Source organism: Homo sapiens, chromosome 15 (genome assembly GCF_000001405.40).
Source record: "Homo sapiens chromosome 15, GRCh38.p14 Primary Assembly".
NCBI classification, from domain to species: Eukaryota; Metazoa; Chordata; class Mammalia; order Primates; family Hominidae; genus Homo; species Homo sapiens.
Window position 1 is genome coordinate 28,696,896 of NC_000015.10, and position 17,881 is coordinate 28,714,776.

At 47.0% G+C, this 17,881-nt stretch overlaps 1 protein-coding gene, 1 long non-coding RNA gene and 1 pseudogene across 8 annotated transcripts, besides 3 other annotated features; 1 reads left to right on the forward strand and 2 right to left on the reverse strand.

Annotated features, from left to right (window-relative positions):
• Positions 1–1,687: 1,687 nt before the first annotated feature.
• GOLGA8M (golgin A8 family member M) lies at positions 1,688–16,438 on the reverse strand. Of its 7 annotated transcripts, XM_011521951.4 has the most exons (20): positions 15,381–15,526; positions 14,582–14,714; positions 13,592–13,711; positions 12,634–12,693; positions 12,372–12,452; positions 11,480–11,518; positions 11,231–11,278; positions 11,058–11,142; positions 10,853–10,962; positions 9,718–9,804; positions 9,504–9,611; positions 9,221–9,308; positions 8,588–8,844; positions 8,264–8,332; positions 6,947–7,022; positions 6,424–6,515; positions 5,750–5,850; positions 5,570–5,667; positions 5,319–5,474; positions 1,688–5,234 (listed from the first exon to the last, which is right to left on the reverse strand). In XM_011521951.4, exons 8-20 carry the CDS (start codon positions 11,083–11,085, stop codon positions 5,059–5,061), a joined length of 1,446 nt encoding a protein of 481 aa, XP_011520253.1. In that variant the 5' UTR covers positions 11,086–11,142; positions 11,231–11,278; positions 11,480–11,518; positions 12,372–12,452; positions 12,634–12,693; positions 13,592–13,711; positions 14,582–14,714; positions 15,381–15,526; the 3' UTR covers positions 1,688–5,058. The 7 variants fall into 7 exon arrangements, with proteins under 7 accessions (XP_011520253.1, XP_005268341.1, NP_001269397.1 ...); XM_005268284.6 differs by having other exon boundaries at positions 14,582–16,438; NM_001282468.3 differs by lacking the exon at positions 14,582–14,714.
• Positions 5,124–9,928, forward strand: LOC107984746 (uncharacterized). The gene is made up of 3 exons (XR_001751465.2): positions 5,124–5,212; positions 5,833–5,929; positions 8,341–9,928. It is a non-coding gene; the product is annotated as an uncharacterized LOC107984746 (long non-coding RNA).
• Positions 5,473–5,973: an enhancer, noted in NCBI's record as "H3K4me1 hESC enhancer chr15:28947514-28948014 (GRCh37/hg19 assembly coordinates)". NCBI's record gives its function as "activates a minimal SCP1, AML or CMV promoter by ChIP-STARR-seq in primed H9 embryonic stem cells {active_cell/tissue: H9 hESC(primed)}" and the evidence as "EXISTENCE:reporter gene assay evidence [ECO:0000049][PMID:30033119]".
• Positions 5,974–6,474: an enhancer, noted in NCBI's record as "H3K4me1 hESC enhancer chr15:28948015-28948515 (GRCh37/hg19 assembly coordinates)". NCBI's record gives its function as "activates a minimal SCP1, AML or CMV promoter by ChIP-STARR-seq in primed H9 embryonic stem cells {active_cell/tissue: H9 hESC(primed)}" and the evidence as "EXISTENCE:reporter gene assay evidence [ECO:0000049][PMID:30033119]".
• RN7SL719P (RNA, 7SL, cytoplasmic 719, pseudogene) lies at positions 6,659–6,895 on the reverse strand (annotated as a pseudogene).
• Positions 8,392–9,101: an enhancer, noted in NCBI's record as "H3K4me1 hESC enhancer chr15:28950433-28951142 (GRCh37/hg19 assembly coordinates)". NCBI's record gives its function as "activates a minimal SCP1, AML or CMV promoter by ChIP-STARR-seq in primed H9 embryonic stem cells {active_cell/tissue: H9 hESC(primed)}" and the evidence as "EXISTENCE:reporter gene assay evidence [ECO:0000049][PMID:30033119]".
• Positions 16,439–17,881: the final 1,443 nt, after the last annotated feature.

The following is a 17,881-nucleotide window of genomic DNA, read 5'->3' on the forward strand; positions in this document are numbered from 1 at the left end:
AAACACACATTTGTAACACATCACTGAATAGGAGAAATATGGGCCAGCAAAGAACATAGAGTTGGTCCAATTTCTACAAAAAAAAGAAGACTCTAATAGCATGACAGCAGGGAAGGGGGACTATGTCAACGTATGTGTGTATATGTATGTATATGCATAGCAAGCATGAACTTGAAAAGATATATTTCAAATTGTTTACACAGATTACCTCAGAGAGGTAAATAACTTTGGACTTTGGTGTTCTGTATTCCACATGCTCTGAATTTTCTTTTTTTATTTAAATAGAGATGGGATCTTAGCCAGGAGCAGTGGCTCACCCCTGTAATCCCAGCACTTTGGGAGGCTGAGGAGGGCGGATTGTTTGAGGCAGGAGTTCAAGACCAATCTGGCCAACACGGCAAAACTCTGTCTCAACTAAAAATTCAAAAATTAGCCAGGGGCGCAGTGGCTCATGCCTGTAACCCCAGACACTCGAGAGACTGAGGCATGAGAATTGCTTGAACCAGGAGGCAGAGGTTGCCGTGAGCCGAGATCACACCACGGCACTCCAGCCTGGGCAACAGACCAAGACTCTGTCAAAAAACAAAACAAAACAAAACAAAACAACAACCACAACAACAAAACAGTAATAAAGAGAAAACCTAATGGACAGGAGCAATGTCTCGTGCCTGTAATCCCAGTGCTTTCGGAGGCCAAGATGGGAGAATTGCTTGAGGCCAGGAGTTCAAGACTAGCATTGGCAACATAGTAAGACCTTTTCTCTACAAAAAAATTTAAAAATTAGCCAGGCATAGTAGTGCATGCTTATACTCCCAGCTACCTGGGAGGCTGAGGTGGGAGGATCACTTGAGCCTAAGAGTTGGAGGTTGCAGTAAGCTGTGATCATACCACCAGAGAGCCACGACCCCATCCCCGCCTCCTTCCTCTGTCCTACGCTAGCAATAAATAAGTTTCCCAGCCACAAATAATTATTAGAACCTCCTCCCCATGTGACAGCTCCAACCTCTGCTAGGTATGATACAGGGGCAGCCCTACCCTCTGGAATATACAAAATGTTACACAGACACAGTATGTACACCGGGGAAGGTGGGCCACCCCAGCAGCCCATGCCCTCGCTGGTCCACAGTTAGCCCCACTTTCTGGCCTCAGCTACCTCTCTGAATAAGAAGATGGGAGCCCCCCTGAGGGAAAAGTTGCTATGGTGAGAGTAAGGGGGACATCAGGCCTCCTCCAAACAAACCAACTCCACCAGCCTCTGGCTCTTAAATAACAATCATCATCATCCAGAAATTTAGGGACTCAGCCCTGGTCAGGGTGGCAAAGGGTCTGTTTGTCTTTCCCCATTAGACAGAGGTCTTGTCCTGCTACCCTAATTGTAAAGGGGTGCCTGGGAAGGGGTGGTAGGGACATGGTGGCGGTGGAGACTCCGGCCCCACTTCTCCAGGCTTTGCTGACAGGGGCCTGCTTTTAATTTTTATTTTTATTCCATGACTTTTTAAAAAAGAATCCCGTAACTTCTTTTTCATAACTTTTTTTGTAACTTTTCATAATACTGTTTTCTACTTTGTTCCCACAAGTTTTTTTGCCACAACGTTTTTACATTTTTTATCCCATAACTTTTTCACCCCATAACTTTTTTAAATAAAGTTATTTAATAAAATAACTTTTTATAAAACTTTAATAAAAGTTTTTTAATTAACCCATAACTTTTTTATTTTGGTTTTTAATAAACACTTGCATAGTTATATTACAACTTTGTAAAAATGAAACACATTATCTCATGCCAAGCATGCCCAGCATTTGCACAGTATCAATACCTTTAATACTATAGTTTTCAAGAAACGCAAAATAAAATTTTAAGGCAAAAACAACACATTCAAACAACTTAATAATTTATTACATTACAGTGGCATCACACCAGCAGTCAATAAGGCCACTCTAGGGAAAAATCTTTCAGTATTTCCATTACACATTCTGTTTATAATAATTCATAAACTGGTAAAATTCATTCTAAGAAAACTTGGCAAATAAAACTTTGGACTGGAATTGGCATTTCTTTCTCTGCTTTTCGTTCCCACTGTTTCTTTCTTTTATACTACAGTATTCATATTTTAAAATGTTTTAAATTATTTCAGAACATTAAGATAGCAGTTACATATTTTAATAGTTATATTATTTTAAAACAACTCTTTAAAGTTTTAGAGAAACTATATTATGGATAGGGCTGATTTACATTTTCAAATTTTCTAAAATCAGCTTTGGTTTTAGAGCTGATTTTTTTTTTCATTTCTGGAAAATTATCAGGTTGAATCAAATACTTTTAAAATGATTATTATATATTGCCATCTTTAAATAGGTATTTTGATTCTTCCTACAGAAATTAAAATGTATTCAGTGGAACTCACAGTTTAAAATTCTGTGTTTCTGATGAACTCTAACATTCCAATGTTGCCTTCTAAGCAAACTGAAAGCTGCCTTATACAGAATGAGGAAGAGCACAAATACTCGGCTGAATGAGGTATCGCAAAAGACTGCATGCACTTTGGAGAAAGACTTGAGTTATTGTCATACAATTTCCATTCTTTTTAGCTTTTTCTTAAATATATGACAAATACCTATACAAAGAGTGGTATTTCAGTCAATATAGTAAATTTATTTTCCAGACTGACCTTCAGCTTAAATATGCCAGTGTGTGATTTAATCCATAGGCACCTCATGAACACATTATTGTCAGATTGGTTACAGATGCTAAACGCTATCCGAAGGTCATTCCTAGTCACTGATATTTATCAGGGTAAAAGTGAAGTGATTTCAACGATAAAAGTACCTTTGCAATAATTTATCAATGTATTAGATAAACCCAGTTTCAGAATGATAAAAGAAAAAACGTTAGACCAAATAATGTGGCTGATTAACAGTGGTCCGATTTCTAGCCCGAGGGTTTAAAATGCTCTTAAAGTAACTGTCTTTAAACTGAACTCAAAGAATGCAAAAGCGGCAAGTTCAGAAAATAAAAGGCGAGAACAGGACTTTAAGTGCATTTTAAACCCACGGGCTACAAATCGTACCACTGTTAATTAGCCGCATTATTTGGTCTAAGATTTTTTCTTTATCATTCTGAAACTGGGTTTATCTAATACATTGATACATTCATAAAATTTGGAAGAGTCAGTGGAAGTCACAAGGACCGAATATTTGCACTCTTTCAGTGAATGCCAGCAAATCTGTTATTCCATCGGTAAAATCGTACTGTTGCTCTCCTGTTAATGTCATATTTATAGAAGTATCATGAGGATGCCAAATGCTAAAAATGGAGATGATCTAGTAACTAGAAATCCCCACCGCAGGGAGCACACACACCTATCTCCCTGCATCCTAACAATGTGATGTGTTTTGGAACACAGACATTAGAACTTCATGAAGTTTTAACTGTTGAGTCTTTCCCAAGCATCATCAAGTTACGATTTAGGCAATATATAACTGAAATGCATTCATTCATCATGCATAGGCACAATCACATAAATATTGCACAAAATATGTCCCGAACAGAAACCCAGAGGTACAAAAACATATTTCACTTTGTAAAGAAGTCTGTGAGAAAATATAACTCTGTGATTGTATAGACACGTTTCCTGATAATACATTGACATTCACGAACAGTAGATTGCACTGCAGTTTGTACACATTTTAAGTTTCATAAACTTCTCCTTGATTTTCAAAGATAGTATAATACCGTCTACTAAAACTCCTTTTTGTTTCAACTAAGTATCTCACATATATTAGTTTATAATAATGTTTCTATTATTTTTTAAAGTGTTTTCCATTCAAGGAAAAAGAAGTAAATTCCTATGTCAGAGTAACCAAGGTGGTTGAAGAATAGGTATTAGCCAAAGAGGTCTAGATGGTAAAATCAATCTTCAAGCCTCAAAGAATACGTGAACAGAGAGGAATGCCAGGTGTCACACAGCTTTCCTTCACTCTAATTCATTCTTGACTAGAGCCTGTATGCCTGTTCCAGGGACGTTTGAACTCATAAAGGATTTCTTATGATCTTCACTAAATACATTAAGAAGAATGCCAACCAGTGTCCTTTTGTGTACTGGGACATGTAGTCATGCGATTAAAACAGGTAACATGAACTCTGACTTTAAAATGTATTGTAGATACAAATGCTCTAAGCTAGGAAAGGTTTTCCACATCCACAGTCAACGATGGGAACCTTTCATTCCTCAGAAATAAGCCCTTTTTAGGTCATCGAAAAAGAGTACAACTGCTGCAGCTCATGATGCAGTATCTTCATGAGCCCAGAGCACATACAAATCCTAAGGGCACCACCATAATACACCGCTAATTCCTGGCACCGGAACAGATGAAACACACTCTATCCTGCACATACCTGCCAGAGGAAGCCACTTTCCTCTTCTGTGAGATTTAAAAAGCTCCCCCAAAAGGTTTCACTCCCATCACCAATACACAGAAAATGGAGGAAAGGCTGTTTCCAGTTCTTGGCCTTTAAACAACTCTAAATGTCAGTACTCATAGTGGCATATTACAAAGTAATAAACAGTGCACACTTGGGGGCAAACTACATATTGAGCTAACGAAGAGCTCACTGTGATTAAGATTAGATCAAACAACAGCAGAACATAGGCAAATTTTGTCTGAATTCTGTAGTGAATATACATGCTGCAATAACATTAAAAAAGCATGGCAGCCTATTCCAAACCAGCGAGAACAGTTTTGGGCAAAGAGTGGGTCTTTGTGTGTTTGAACTTCCACCACGTAAGGGCAAACTCGATATGCATGCTAATGACCTACAATTATGAAATTAAAAAAGAAAAATGCTAAAGGATGCCAGAGTGAACATCAGTGAGAGCCACAGACACCCACTCTCTTTTAACTTTTTACAAATAAACTTAAAACTATAAATTAGAAACACAAATAATCATGAGTGACTCTAACATTCAAAGGAAGTAAATGAATTGTGTAGGAGATTAACCCCATAACTTGGTTTCTTATTTAAAAATTTCTTGAGCAGCTCTTTGAGGATGGTGATGTTTATCTCCTTCTTCTTGGCAGCCAAGCCCAGCAAAAGAATGGCACACAGCAGTTGCTGCCCAAGCCTGGGTGCTCCTGGTGGTCCTGCACGATCGGCTGTGCAGTAGGCTTGTCAAGGAGAGGATCCTCCCTGGCCTCTCCTTGGGCAGAGGAGGTGAGGCTCACCTCACAAAGATCTTTGGAGAGAGGGAGGCAGGGATCTGAGCACAGTGGGAGCCCCCTCTTCCTGCCTGCCCACACCACCTGAGGGCTGTACTCACCACCATGCTTGTCTGCAGCCCCAAGCTCCTGGGGAGCTGGGGCTCCTGGACCGGGCTCATCAGCAGAGTTGTGGGCAGCGGCCAGGAATTTTCTGTGCCCATTGTTGTAGTTGCTGTAAGCCGCAATACCATCTGCTGCAGCTCCAGCAGCTTCACCTGGAGGGAGGGGTGCTCAGCTGCCATGCCGCTGCCTGCGCCCACCCTCACACCCACCCCCACCCCCACCCCCACAGAGATGTTGCACACCCTACCTTCATCTCCTCCCTGAGCTCCAGCCTGATGGTGTCCTCCTCCCAGTGCCGCATCTTTGGCACGGCCCCCTGGTTCTGATAAAAGGTGATGGATTTTCCTGCGGGAGGACGGGGCTCAGACGCTGGGGCCCCTCCGACGGTCCTGCAGCTCCCCCTGCCGTGCCCTGGCCTCCCACTCACTGATGGCATCTCTCTTGCCAGTATTGAATGAAGCGAAGTTCTTGTTTCTTCACAAGCTCACTCAGGTCTGCCTTCTCCTCCAGGTGGTCCATAAAGCTGCTCTGGAGCCAAAATATTGCAGTCACATCTCGGCAGCGACCTGCCCTCAGGTGGCATTTTCAAGTCATGGAGAAGGTGGAGGTGAGTCCTGGCATGGGCCAGCTTCTCCGTGACTTCCTGCAGGGCCCAGTGGGTCTCCCCACTCACAGACTCGCCCCCAGGCCCTGGGGCTGCAGGGCCTCTGGCTGCCTCTGGCTCCTTCTGGGCCGAGGCCACCGGGTGAGCCAGGCGCTGGCAGCCACCCTCTGCTCTTTCACCTGCTCTTGTAACTGTGCCTGCTTCTCCTGGGCACTAGCTCCAGCGGACTTGAGAAATGCCACCTGAGGGCAAGATGTGAGCATTCTTCTAGGGGCATACACAGAACAAATGGGGCAGAGAGGTGGAGCGCAGCCCCTTCCCTTGGGCCCCCAGAGACTGCACATGTTGGCCACAGGTGAAATGGTGTCTGACCACTGGCTCTCAGAAGGGGTGAGGGTCCAGAGAAATCAGAAGGCAGGGAAACGAAGAGCATAAAGGGGTCTTGGAGGGACCACAGAGAAAGGTGGCAAAATGGGTGCAGGGGGAGTCAGGCTCACCATGGCCTCCCTGCTCTCCGGGTCCTCTGGGACACTCGGCATGGGCTGAGGTGCCTCCTCCCCCTCACTGTCCAGATGTTCTCCTCCGTGTCCTGTGGGGGGTGGCCAGAGGGGTCTTCAGACAACCCAACAAGGGAGGTACTGTGGGCCCACCTCTACCTCCACCCTCACTGTGTAACCCTGAGCCAGCCCCTCCCCAGAGAGGAATGAGCTGTTGTTCTTTATTTTTACTTTTAAGAATCAAGATCTTGCTATTCCGCCCAGGCACACTCCCACTACTGGTCGATGTGGGAGTTCTGACCTGCTCCCTTTCTGACCTTGGCCAGTTCAGCCATCCTTAGGCAACTTGGTGACCCCCCGCTCACAGGAGGTCACCACACTGATGCCGAACTTAGTGCAGGCACCCAGTCGGCATAATGACCAGCTGTTCTAAAGGTCTCTTCCAACTCCTCAATCCTATGCTGCTAGCAGTCCCCCCTTCCTCCTGGGGCTCTCTCCTCTTCCTCTGAGCGGTCTCCCGTACCTTCCCCAGGGAGAGCCATGAGGCTCAGCTGGGCCGTTAGCTGCTGGTTCTGCTGGCTGGCAGCTTCCAGGTGCTCCTAAGGGGCCAGGAAAGAGTGAGAAGGGATGGAGTTTGCCAGGTCGTCCCCCTCACAGCCCCATCCTCCGCAGCTCCCTCCCCTGGGTCTCCTGCAACTTTTGGCAGGCCATATCGGCCACCGCTTTGCCTCAAGCTTCCTGCTACTGCAGCTGGTTCATTAGCTGGGTCTGCTGCAGTCACTGCCTGTACAGCGCCTCCTTCTCACAGGTCAACTGCTGATAGGCGGCCACCTGCTGCTGATAGGTGGCCACGGACTGCTGCAGGTGACCCAGGTAATGGTCTGGCTGCTGCTGCAGACTCTGAGCCTCTTGGCTCTTCAGCTCCACCTGCAGGAAGACCCTGGGTGTGAGGGCACGTGGTGGCTGGTTTCCAGATTCTGGGCCCATTAATAGGGTAGCGAGGGCACTGTGGGGCTCTGTCAGCTGCCCAGGCCCCTGTCCCCTTACTCCAGGCCTAAGTGACTGCCTCCCTTTCCTAGAACCCCATGCCTCCTTCCCCAGCCTCAAATCTCATACCCTCTTCTCATTTAATCCGCAGCACCTCTGTAAGGAAAATGCTAACTTCCCTTTGAAGTTAAAGAAACAGAGACTTAGAGATGCAAAGTACTTGAACGGTGACCAGTGGAACCGAGGCTGGAATCCAGTTTTAATCTAAGGAGTCTTTTTGTTTTGTTTTCAGACAAGAGTGTCACTCTGTGGCCCAGGCTGGAGTGCAGTGGTGCAATCTCAGCTCACTGCAACCTCCACCTCCTGGGTTGAAGCAATTCTCATGCCTCAGCCTCCCGAGTAGGTGGAATTACAGGCATGCACCACAATGTCCTGCTAATTTTTTTTTTTTTTGTAATTTTAGTAGAGATGAGGTTTTACCACATTGGCCAGGCTGATCTCAAACTCCCGACCTCAAGTGATTCTCCTGCCTCAGCCTCCCAAAGTGCTGGGATTATAGGCATGAGCCACTGCACCTGGCATAAGGAGCCTGTTATAGCACTGTCTCTTCCCCTGTGATTGGGGGCTCCATGCCTCTAGCTAGGATGATGATGTCCAGACCTGAGAGGAGCCCAGGGCTACCCACCTTTAAAAGTCAGAGGCAGGAAGCAAGAAACAGGACTGCCCTGGGGGGTGCTGTGGTCACCAGCCCCCAGGCTGGAAGCTGCCTCTGGCCTGGTACCTCCCCTCCCCAGAGGCTGCTGCCCGCCTCCCAGCCCTTCTTGGATGGGGTGGAGGTTTCCGACTCCTTCACCTCGCCAAGCTTCTCCTGTAGCTCCTTTACTTGCTGCTCCAACTGCAGTGTGCTCTTGTTCTCATTGTTCTGGACAGAGAGAAGCAATCAGCAGCCACCCACTGCAGCTGGAGACCCCAGAACTTGGTGTCTGCCTCCCATGGCACTGGGAAGGCTGGAGGCAGGTTAGAAAAATCACCCCCTCTCTCCCACAGCCACCTGGCTCACAGGTGCCTTTAGAAGTAACATTTCATGTGAGGGCTACACTGCCCCATTTTAGAGGTGGGGAAACAAAGGCCCGGAGGGCTAGGGAGGAGGGCAAGCTCCCCAGTTTGGGCAACGCACCGGCTCCTCGAAGACGCTCTGTGGCTTGGCCAGCTGCTGAAGGCTCTTGTGCTGCTCCTGAATCCTCTCCTCCTGCTTCCGAAGCCTCTCTTCCTGCTCCCGAATCCTCTCTTCTTGTCGCTGGTTCAGGAGACTTATGCGCTGATTGTTTTTGACCTGGGCCTGGAGCTCTCCTGCCACTCTCTCTAGTTCCTTCCTCAGGTGCTGCAGCTCCACCTCAGAGGGCACTGCTGGGGGCTCCGGGGGCAAGGGTTCAGCTGAGAAAGGAAGCAGACAATAAGGGCCTCTGGATTCTCGGAAAAGAAAAACCCTCCTCTTGGCGCACAGCTCCTCTCAGGCTCCTCAAACTTGGCCTCACTGCTAATGATTCCTCGCACCCAGATGGTAGCCAGTCTTCCAAAGCACTTTCAGAGAAAGAGCACTGCGGGTGGCTGACAACGGGCCCTCTTTGCTGATGGGGACACTGAGACACTGAGACTCATTGAGATGACAAGACTCGCCGTCTCCTGGCACAGATCTCTTTCCCTCTGCCTCAAAGCCCTTCCATCCACCCACCTCCCTGGGGCACTCTAAGCCACCCTCACAGCCCTCTGATGCCAGTCCTGCTCCCAGGTCATGCCAGCCCCATCTTACCCATCTGGTTTTTGAGTTTGGACAAGCTCCTCTCCAGCTTCTCTACCCGACGCATATCTTGCTGCTTCTCTTTCTTTAATGTGCAAATCTGCCCAAAGCACAAGGGGAAAGGGCCCTGGAGAGAGGGGCTGGAGGCTGGACAGGCTGCCCTCTCCCTCTCTGCCCCCACCTCCACAAAGCCCAGACCCATGACCACCTCTGGCTCTACTATTCCCATTTTACAGATGACCAGAAAGATCCAGTGACCTATCTAATGTGGGGGGGCTGAAGGGTCAGATCTCACCTCCTGCGACATTTTTCTCATCCTCTGCTGCCACCGGGCCCTCTCTCCTTTTAGATGTTCAGAATACTCATCTCTTTCTAATTGGACTTGTTGAAATGACTCCTTCAACTGCAAGAATGGGCACAGAACTTAGGAAGGGCTGTCACTGGTCCTCACCTGCTCCTGGCCACCTGGGGTCATCTTCCTTCCACATAACTCCCTCAGAAAACCTCACCTGTGTCAGCTGCACTTTCAGTAGTGCCTCCTCCCGCATGGACTGCTCTAACTTCCACTCCGTACCTGCTTTACTGGGGCTGGACAACTGGATGGCAAAGAGTGAGAAGTTTCAATCTGGAGAGCCTGGGCATTTCCACACAGTGCCCCTTAACAGGGCTCGGGCTAGGCCCAATATACAACTCGGTCAGTAAAGATCAAGGCATTTCCAAGCCCGTGGTCTGGTTTTTAAAAGAACACAGTAAAGTTGGAACGGACAGGGAATGAGATTGAGTTTATAGCTGGCTAACAGAGGCCCAGAGAGATCAGATAATATTGCTATTGTTATTACTGTTATTATTACCACTGTTTGAACCTTTGTGGAATGCTTCACCAGATACCATGCTAACAATCCCATTTAATCCTCGCAACCACCATAGGAGACAGTTACTATGATTCCCTCTATTGTGGAGATAAAAAACATGGAGTATTTGAGGTTAAGTGCTTGCCTAAGTTCACTTAGGCAGAGCTGGGATATAAACACCCAGGTCTATCCAATTCTCTAAGCCCGTTTTTCTTGCTGGGGATGGGGGCACAGATAGGAAGGGGAAAATTAATCTTTTGTTCACTTTTTGAAAGGATGATACATTTGCATAGTCCAAAACTCAGAAGGTACAGAAGGGAAGTATCTCCCGGCCATCTTGTTGCTCTCTCCTGAATTTTTTATGAACCCTTGCAGACATGTTTTATGTATATTATCATAGTATGTACACACACACACACACACACACACACATGCACACGTTTCCTCTTTCTACAGAAATGGTAACATACTAAAGGTACTCTTCTGTACCTTCACAGTACAAGTACCCAATACCCCACCTAGGACTTGCCCAAGACCACAGCCAGGTAAGGGCGGGGCAGGCACTTGGCCTCCAAGCTCTGCGTCCAGTGCTCACTCCACACAGTGACCCCCAACTCACCCACAGCAGCTGACTCAGCCCCAGGCTGCCACTAAAAACCATACAAAAAAGTAGCAAGAAATGGCCATGCTGCCTTCTGGGCAGGACACGCCATCCTGCAGAAGGGACCTTTAGGCTCACTCCTCCATCTGCAAAGCCAGACTCCCAGGGGATGGGGCAGGTGGTTGGACTCACCTGGTTTGCCTTCTTCTTCTGTGTGGCCATGACATCAGAGAGAACACTCTCTAACTCTCCTTTACGCTGCAATGAATGTTGCAGGCGGACAGCCAGATCCTTGGACTTTTCTGTAGTGAGAGAGTTGAGATGGGGCCCAAAGGACTCCCCCTGAAGACCTGTCAAAGTGCCAGGTTGAAGGATGACAGGGTGCCCAGATTCCCACCTTCAAAGTATCTGAGAGAACGTTTCATGTGGTACAGGTCCGTATTTAGTTCCTCTTTCTGTATGTTCAATGTCTGGAGTTGAACCTTTGGGAGAAAAGCCAAGCAAGTGCTGAAAGAGAAGGAAAGAAACATTCTCCGGAGGACAGGAGGAAACTGCACACCCTCCACTCACCTCTAGCACCCTTTTGGCTTTCTGTTTCTTGTTGTTTGCTTTCTTTTCCTGTAGGAAGAGGAAGACAGAGCTCTTACCAGGGGGAGGCAGAGATGGCACAGCAAGAGACATGCCCCCAGAATGCCACCAATGCCCCAGGACAGGCCCACCCATGGGACCAGGTTATCGGGGCCCTGTGGGGATGGGGTGGAATCTGAAGGGTGAGCCTTCTTCCAGCAGTCATGTTGCAAGGAAACGAAATCACGTTACTTCTTCCAGCTGATGTTCCACTTGTTTCTTCTGTTGTTTCTGTGGGGAGAGTCAAATAAGGTGATGGAGGGTGGCCCCCTCAACTCTATTCCCCAGACCAGGAAGCGGTAGGCAGGGGCCAGGAATGGATTTTAAAGGCAAAGTTCTCAGACATAATGGGAACACGAACTGGTAAACTCTCCTCAAGCTCCCAAGGACAGAGGATTTGGGTCTTTGTGGGCTTTTGCCCACAGCCACAGAACTCAAAGTCTGAATCTGGAATCTCTTGAGAGGACAGCAACATAAACCTCTAGAGATGGAGTTTCAGAAAGGCCCCTCCTTCTGGCAGCTTGTGATTTAGAAAAGTGGGTTCATTCAATAAACATTTACTGAGCATGTATGGACCAGGTACGGTTCTTTACAGCAGATATAGGATGGAAAAGGACAGACAGGAGCCCTTAGCCCTGAGGTTTCCATTCTCGGGGGCCTTTAAATCTCAGACTCGAGAGCTAACAGAGACCTTTGATACTCACTACCTCCTCTGGAAACACGAGCCCAAAAAGGAGAGGTGGCTTGTCCAGAATCAAAGAGCAAATTAGGGACTGAGTCATGGCAGAAATACGGGGACCTTGACAACCAGTCAGGCTAGCACTTCCCCAAGAGGCAACAACCCCAGGGCGTGTGTAGCAAGGACTCGAGCAGGGGTGTCTGGAGAGGAGAGAGTCGGCAAAGAGGGCAGCAAAAGAAGAGCCATGCTGCATGCTCTGGGGTCCCTCCAGGTGAGGCCTGGGCACCCAAGCTCCCTATTTGTCCCGGGCACCAGGGACCCCCAGCCCCTTTCTTCAGGGCCCCAAGGGGAAACTGGAGCCCAGGATTGGCAGCGTGGAATCAGGGGACCCCACCGGACTCTTACCAAAGATTTGATGGTGTTCTTCAGTTGACTGATTTCTACGGACCTTGAATCCAGGACTACTGCTCGTTCTTGGCACGGGCTCTGAGGTGCATGCAGAGAGGAGGAGGTGGAGCAGGAGTCGGGGGAGAGGTAGAGAGAACAATCATTAGGGCTGGGGTGTGTGGGCTGTCTCAGCTGGCAGAGGGGCACCCAGTCCCTCCTGGAGGAGGAGGTTGGAGGGCTGACCCGAAGGGTCACTGCACCTCTGCCCAGAGCCTCTTACCTCCAGATCTTTCAGGGTAGCAGATGATGTAGGGCCTTCCCTGTGAAAACCTGTTGCTGACTACAAGAGATGAGAGTGCACATGGAGATGTTCTGTCCCCCACAGTGTCTGAGCCCTCTGACTTCCTTTCTTCCCCATCAACTGGCAACATTTTCTTTTCTGCCTATCTTGGACCCTTTGTCCCATAACTCCTTTGTGCCAACTTCTCTCATGGTTCTTATCTCCCCACCATCCCATCCTGGGGCCCCTTCAGTGACTCCTGATGGCAAGTGGCTGTTCTCATTGTCCTGGCTTCCCCTTGAGACTGGGGATGAGGAAAATCAAACAGCAAAGACCATATCCTGGGTGTCCTGAGTGTTTACAGCAGGCCATGTACTAGGGATTAACATAAAAACAACAATAACAAATCTCATGAAAATTTCACAAATGGAAGTGAAACAATATCACCTCTATTATACAGATGTGAAAAGAGAGGCCCGATGAGGTCTAGCAACTTGCCCTAAATCATATCCCTAGCAGAGCAGATGGAGAGGCAGGATTCAAACCCAGAATTCCTTTTTTTTTCTTTGAGACAGAGTCTTGCTCTGTCACCAGGCTGGAGTGCGGTGGCATAATCTTGGCTACTGCAAGCTCCACCTCCCAGGTTCACACCATTCTCTTGCCTCAGCCTTCTGAGTAGCTGGGACTACAGGCACACGCCACCACGCTTGGCTAATGTTTTTGTATTTTTAGTAGAGACAGGGTTTCACCGTGTTAACCAGGATGGTCTCTATCTCCTGACGTCATGATCCGCCTGCCTTGGCCTCCCAAAGTGCTAGGATTACAGGCGTGGGCCACCACACCCGGCTAAAGCCAGAATTCTTAACCCGTACCCAGCAGTCCATCCACAATCTTAACAATTACCCTCTATTGCCCCTTGGGCCCCCTGTCCCCAGAAGCCTGGTCAGCCAAGACTCACATCCCCAGGTGGCTGGCAACCACCAGAAGTGGCTGTCTGAGGGATACTGCCATTTGTTTTCCTGTTCCTGTTCGCTCCTGCTGGAACTCTAGGGCTGTTTTTCTGCCAATATTCTTTTAACTGTTGGAAAGAAGAGCAGTAATACTCATGAGAACCGTCAGCCCCTACAGCCACATCCTCCTTTACAGTTTTTACAAAATACACTTACACACCATCTGATTTAATGACACCAACAACTGTACAAGGTGTTGTCACACTCATTTAGTGACTGAGAAGGATTGATATCATGGCTAGAAAAAAAAAAAGAAAAAGGCAATACTGGAACTTTGAAACTCAGTCTTCTGACTCCAAGCTCTGAGGTTTTGCCAAGAATCAGCAGCTGCCAGGGACCAAAACCAGAGGCAGAGGTAGAAAAGTAAACATTAAGTAGGCAGGAACTGTATGCCATGTGGTTTAGAGTCATACATCCTCACACGTCTGTTAGTGTGAAGAAGTGCACCAGTACCTCTCAAACTTTTATATCAATGTGTCCTCACGGCAGAAGGCAGCCTTTCTCTTAAATCAGAATTCATCAGAAAGAGGACAACCCAAGCCTCATTTCAGAGAGAGGGCTGGTATACTCTTAGAAACCTATGTGACTGTCATCCCTAAGTATATTCATGTTTTTTCTCTTGATCTCAAGAGAATCAAGGGAAACTGATGCTTCAGAAAGATGTCCCACATTTATCCTGTGGCACTCAAAGTACCCAAAGTTGAGATAATATGAGGAAGATTCAAGGTGTCAAGTTCAGTTTCCCAAGATCTATTCCACAGAAGATGAGCAAATGTCACTTCAGAGACCACTGACTGAAGGAGAGTCTGGTCCCAGAACCATGGAGAATTAGAATATGAGGTGGAGAACTCAGAAAAAAATGTTAAAATCTCTCTGGAAAGTAGAAGCCTGGGAGAAAACCAAACCAAACCCATTCTCTCATTGCCACCCAGAGATACCGTCAATGTTTTGAGTTCATGGGGGAAGTGTAGGCTTTTCCCACCGTCAACATCTGTAAGGGAGTGAGGCAGCCTGGAACCTCTTGCTCCTAGGTCCCATAGTCTCCATTCCCCTTCCAGCTGGAAATTTGTCCTGTGACCAGAGGAACCAGAAACGAGGTGAGAACGCTTAGGGGACTGGGTCATAAGATCAAAGGCCAGTCTTGCAGTAACGGCAGTTACTAGGTGGGCTGTGACATCACAACATTCCACTCCTCCTGGTCGGGGGGAGGGACCATGTCAGCACCATGTCTAAGTCGCTGCTCCACGATGGGGGAGGGAAGCACAGGGTTGGGACCCAGCTCCTTGGAGACGCCAGCACAAAGAACCCAGGGAGGTCGACCTTGAGGCAGCAGGAGGGGAGGGCAGAGTCTGCAGCAGGGAGCCCCAGGAGTCACCAGCCCAAAGTCACCCAGGGATGATTGGCGAGGGTGGGGCCTGGCTCCTCAGAGATGAGAGCCCAAAGAGCCCAGGGAGATCAAGCTTGGGGCGGCAGGAGATGAGGGCCCAGTAACGGAGCGGGAAGCCCCAGGAGTCACCCACCCAAAGTCACCCTGGGGTGATTGGCGAGGGCAAGGACTGGGCTGCTTTCTGAAGGGGTGGGGCTGACTGACAAAACTTTGATGGGGGTAGCCCAAGGCACCGGGGTTGGGGGGACCAGTCCAGTGTGCCTCAGGAGTCGTATAGACTCTGGCAGGGGTCTTGTCATCAGAGGGGATCTGTGGCTGGGTTGAGGGGCTATGACCTAGTGCGTTTTTACCTTTTTCTTGGCTGCAGCCAATTTGTTGTGTTGAGTTTCTTCTGCCATCGCAGGGTGGGGAGGGAGGCAGGGTTGGGGCCACAGCAGCAAAATCGCAATGAGAACCGATCAAGGCCTCCAGTCACCTTCCAGGCAGCTGTGTGACTGAGCCAGAGGAGGCGTAACCAGGGCCCCAGTAGAATGCGGAATAGGGGTGTGGCCTTAATGCTCCAAGCCCATTGGTCAATGAGAAAGATGAAAGGGAAAGGGGGCGTGGCCAGACAGCAGCGTGTCCAGAGGGCCCTGTGGCTCACAAGGAAAGCTGCCCATGCGACCGCTCTCCGCACCCACTCTAAGAGAGGGGAGAGGCCTCCCACTCTGGAAGAGAAGAGGGGCCAGCTTTTGCTTTAACAGCTTTAAAACTTTAAAAAATATATGTGTGTATACTTTATATATATGTGTGTCCGTGTGTGCGTATCTATGTTTTTCTCCATAGCTGTCTTCATTATCCAGCTTCTATGCAAGGTCTATGATTTTGGCCTACATTTTTCATCTTTGATTACAGTACAAAAATTACCAGTATTATCTTAACTGAGATACAGATCCTATAAAAATGGAAAATGCATAGCATGCTTGATGATTAATGAAGCAGACTATATTATCCAACATTCTAATAAGATAAAATAATCACAATGATTTCTCTTTTTTGGAAAAATGTTTCTCTTATTCTCCTATGTTTTCGTTAAGATTTTTTTTCTTAAACAAGAAACATGTCTAATATCTGTAAAAACACAAAGCTTTTGGGCCGGGTGCAGTGGCTCATGCCTGTAATTCCAGGACTTTGAGAGCCCAAGGTGGGTGGATCATGAGGTCAGGAGATCGAGACCATCCTGGCTAACACGGTGAAACCCCATCTCTACTAAAAATACAAAAAAGGCCGGATGTGGTGGCAGGCAGCTGTAGTCTCAGCTACTTGGGAGGCTGAGGCAGGAGAATGACATGAACCCCCGAGGTGGAGCTTGCAGTGAGCCAAGATCATGCCGCTGTACTCCAGCCTGGGCTACAGAGCAAGACTCCATCTCAATTAATTAATTAATTTATTTATTTATTAATAAAAATAAAAAATTAATAGTAAGAGCAATGTGAACAAAAGATGCAATAAAATAATTTAGAAAATACAAGCTATTAAAAAATAGATTTTAAAACTTGTGCAACAAAGTCAAACAGCACCCAACGAAAATGTATACCCTTACATGTTTGTTTAAAAAGCAATTTAAATTACATTGATCCACTAAACTAGGAAAAGCAAAGCAAACAAAAAGGGAGAAATAATTAAGACGTCAGGAAAAAGGAAAAAGAAAAACCACTAGATTTAAAAAACAAAACTGAAGGAGGATTCTTTCAAAAGACTGAGATAATAAAACAGTCAAGCCTCTGATAAGTAATCAAGATAAAGAAAACTTTGAAGAGAAAAGGGCATATAGCCACATGTGAATATGATGCAAAAAGTGAAAACTTTACACATCTTTACAACACCTTAGAAGTATGGATGACATGTTCTTTTTTTTTTTTTTTTTTTTTGAGACGGAGTCTTGCTCTGTCACCCACGCTGGAGTGCAGTGGCGTGATCTTGGCTCACTTGCAAGCTCCACCTCCCGGGTTCACAACATTCTCCTGCCTCAACCTCCCGAGTAGCTGTGACTACAGGCGCCCGCCACCACGCCTGGCTAATTTTTTGTATTTTGGCTTAGTAGAGACGGGGTTTCACCATGTTAGCCAGGATGGTCTCGATCTCCTGACCTCGTGATCCACCCGCCTCGGCCTCCCAAAGTGCTGGGATTACAGGCATGAGCCATCGCACCCGGCCAAAGTGTTCATTTTTTTTTAAGAACCTACAGTTACGAAAACTAACTGAAGAAGTGGGAAATCTGGAGACCAATATGCAGAAGAAGGAAAAAGACAAAGACTCATCCCCCAAATTGGGTATTTATTTAAACCAGAATTTGTCAGCCTCAGCAATATTGATATATTGGGCCAGATAATTCTTTGTGGAGGGTTCTCCTGGTGTGTTGTCGGGCATTTAGTAACATTCCGTCTACCCACAGAATGCCAATAAGACCTCCCGACCATGACCAGTGGTGACCACAAAAATGTCTCCAGATATTTCCAAACGTCCCATAGGAGGCAAAATACTCCTGCAGGTGAAAATTACTGTGTAAACCAGATCTACATCCTAGATCTTAGAAAAAAGATGTAAAGCTTCCCAACTCAGCCCTGCATACCCTTGATACTGAAATGAAATAACAGCCTTAAAGGAAACAAACAAAACTATAATCTTATTTAATACAGAAGTAAAAATACAAAAATAAAATATTACCATAGCCATTCTAACAGTGTTTACTATAGGAATGCAAAGATAATTCAAAATTAGGAAAATTTCATCAGGCAATTCACAAATTATATTTCTACATATAATTGAAGGCACAATCATGAAAAACAAAGTAGCTCTATATGCATTAAGT

Coding starts and splice junctions, on each gene's coding strand:
- GOLGA8M (XM_005268284.6), bottom strand. CDS start 14,767: ATGACCCAGTCCCCTAAGCGTTCTCACCTCGTTTCTGGTTCCTCTGGT. Junction 9,612..9,717: donor TGAAAGTGCAGCTGACACAG/GTGAGGTTTTCT, acceptor CCATTCTTGCAG/TTGAAGGAGTCATTTCAACA. Junction 5,851..6,423: donor CGGAGAGCAGGGAGGCCATG/GTGAGCCTGACT, acceptor TTTTGGCTCCAG/AGCAGCTTTATGGACCACCT.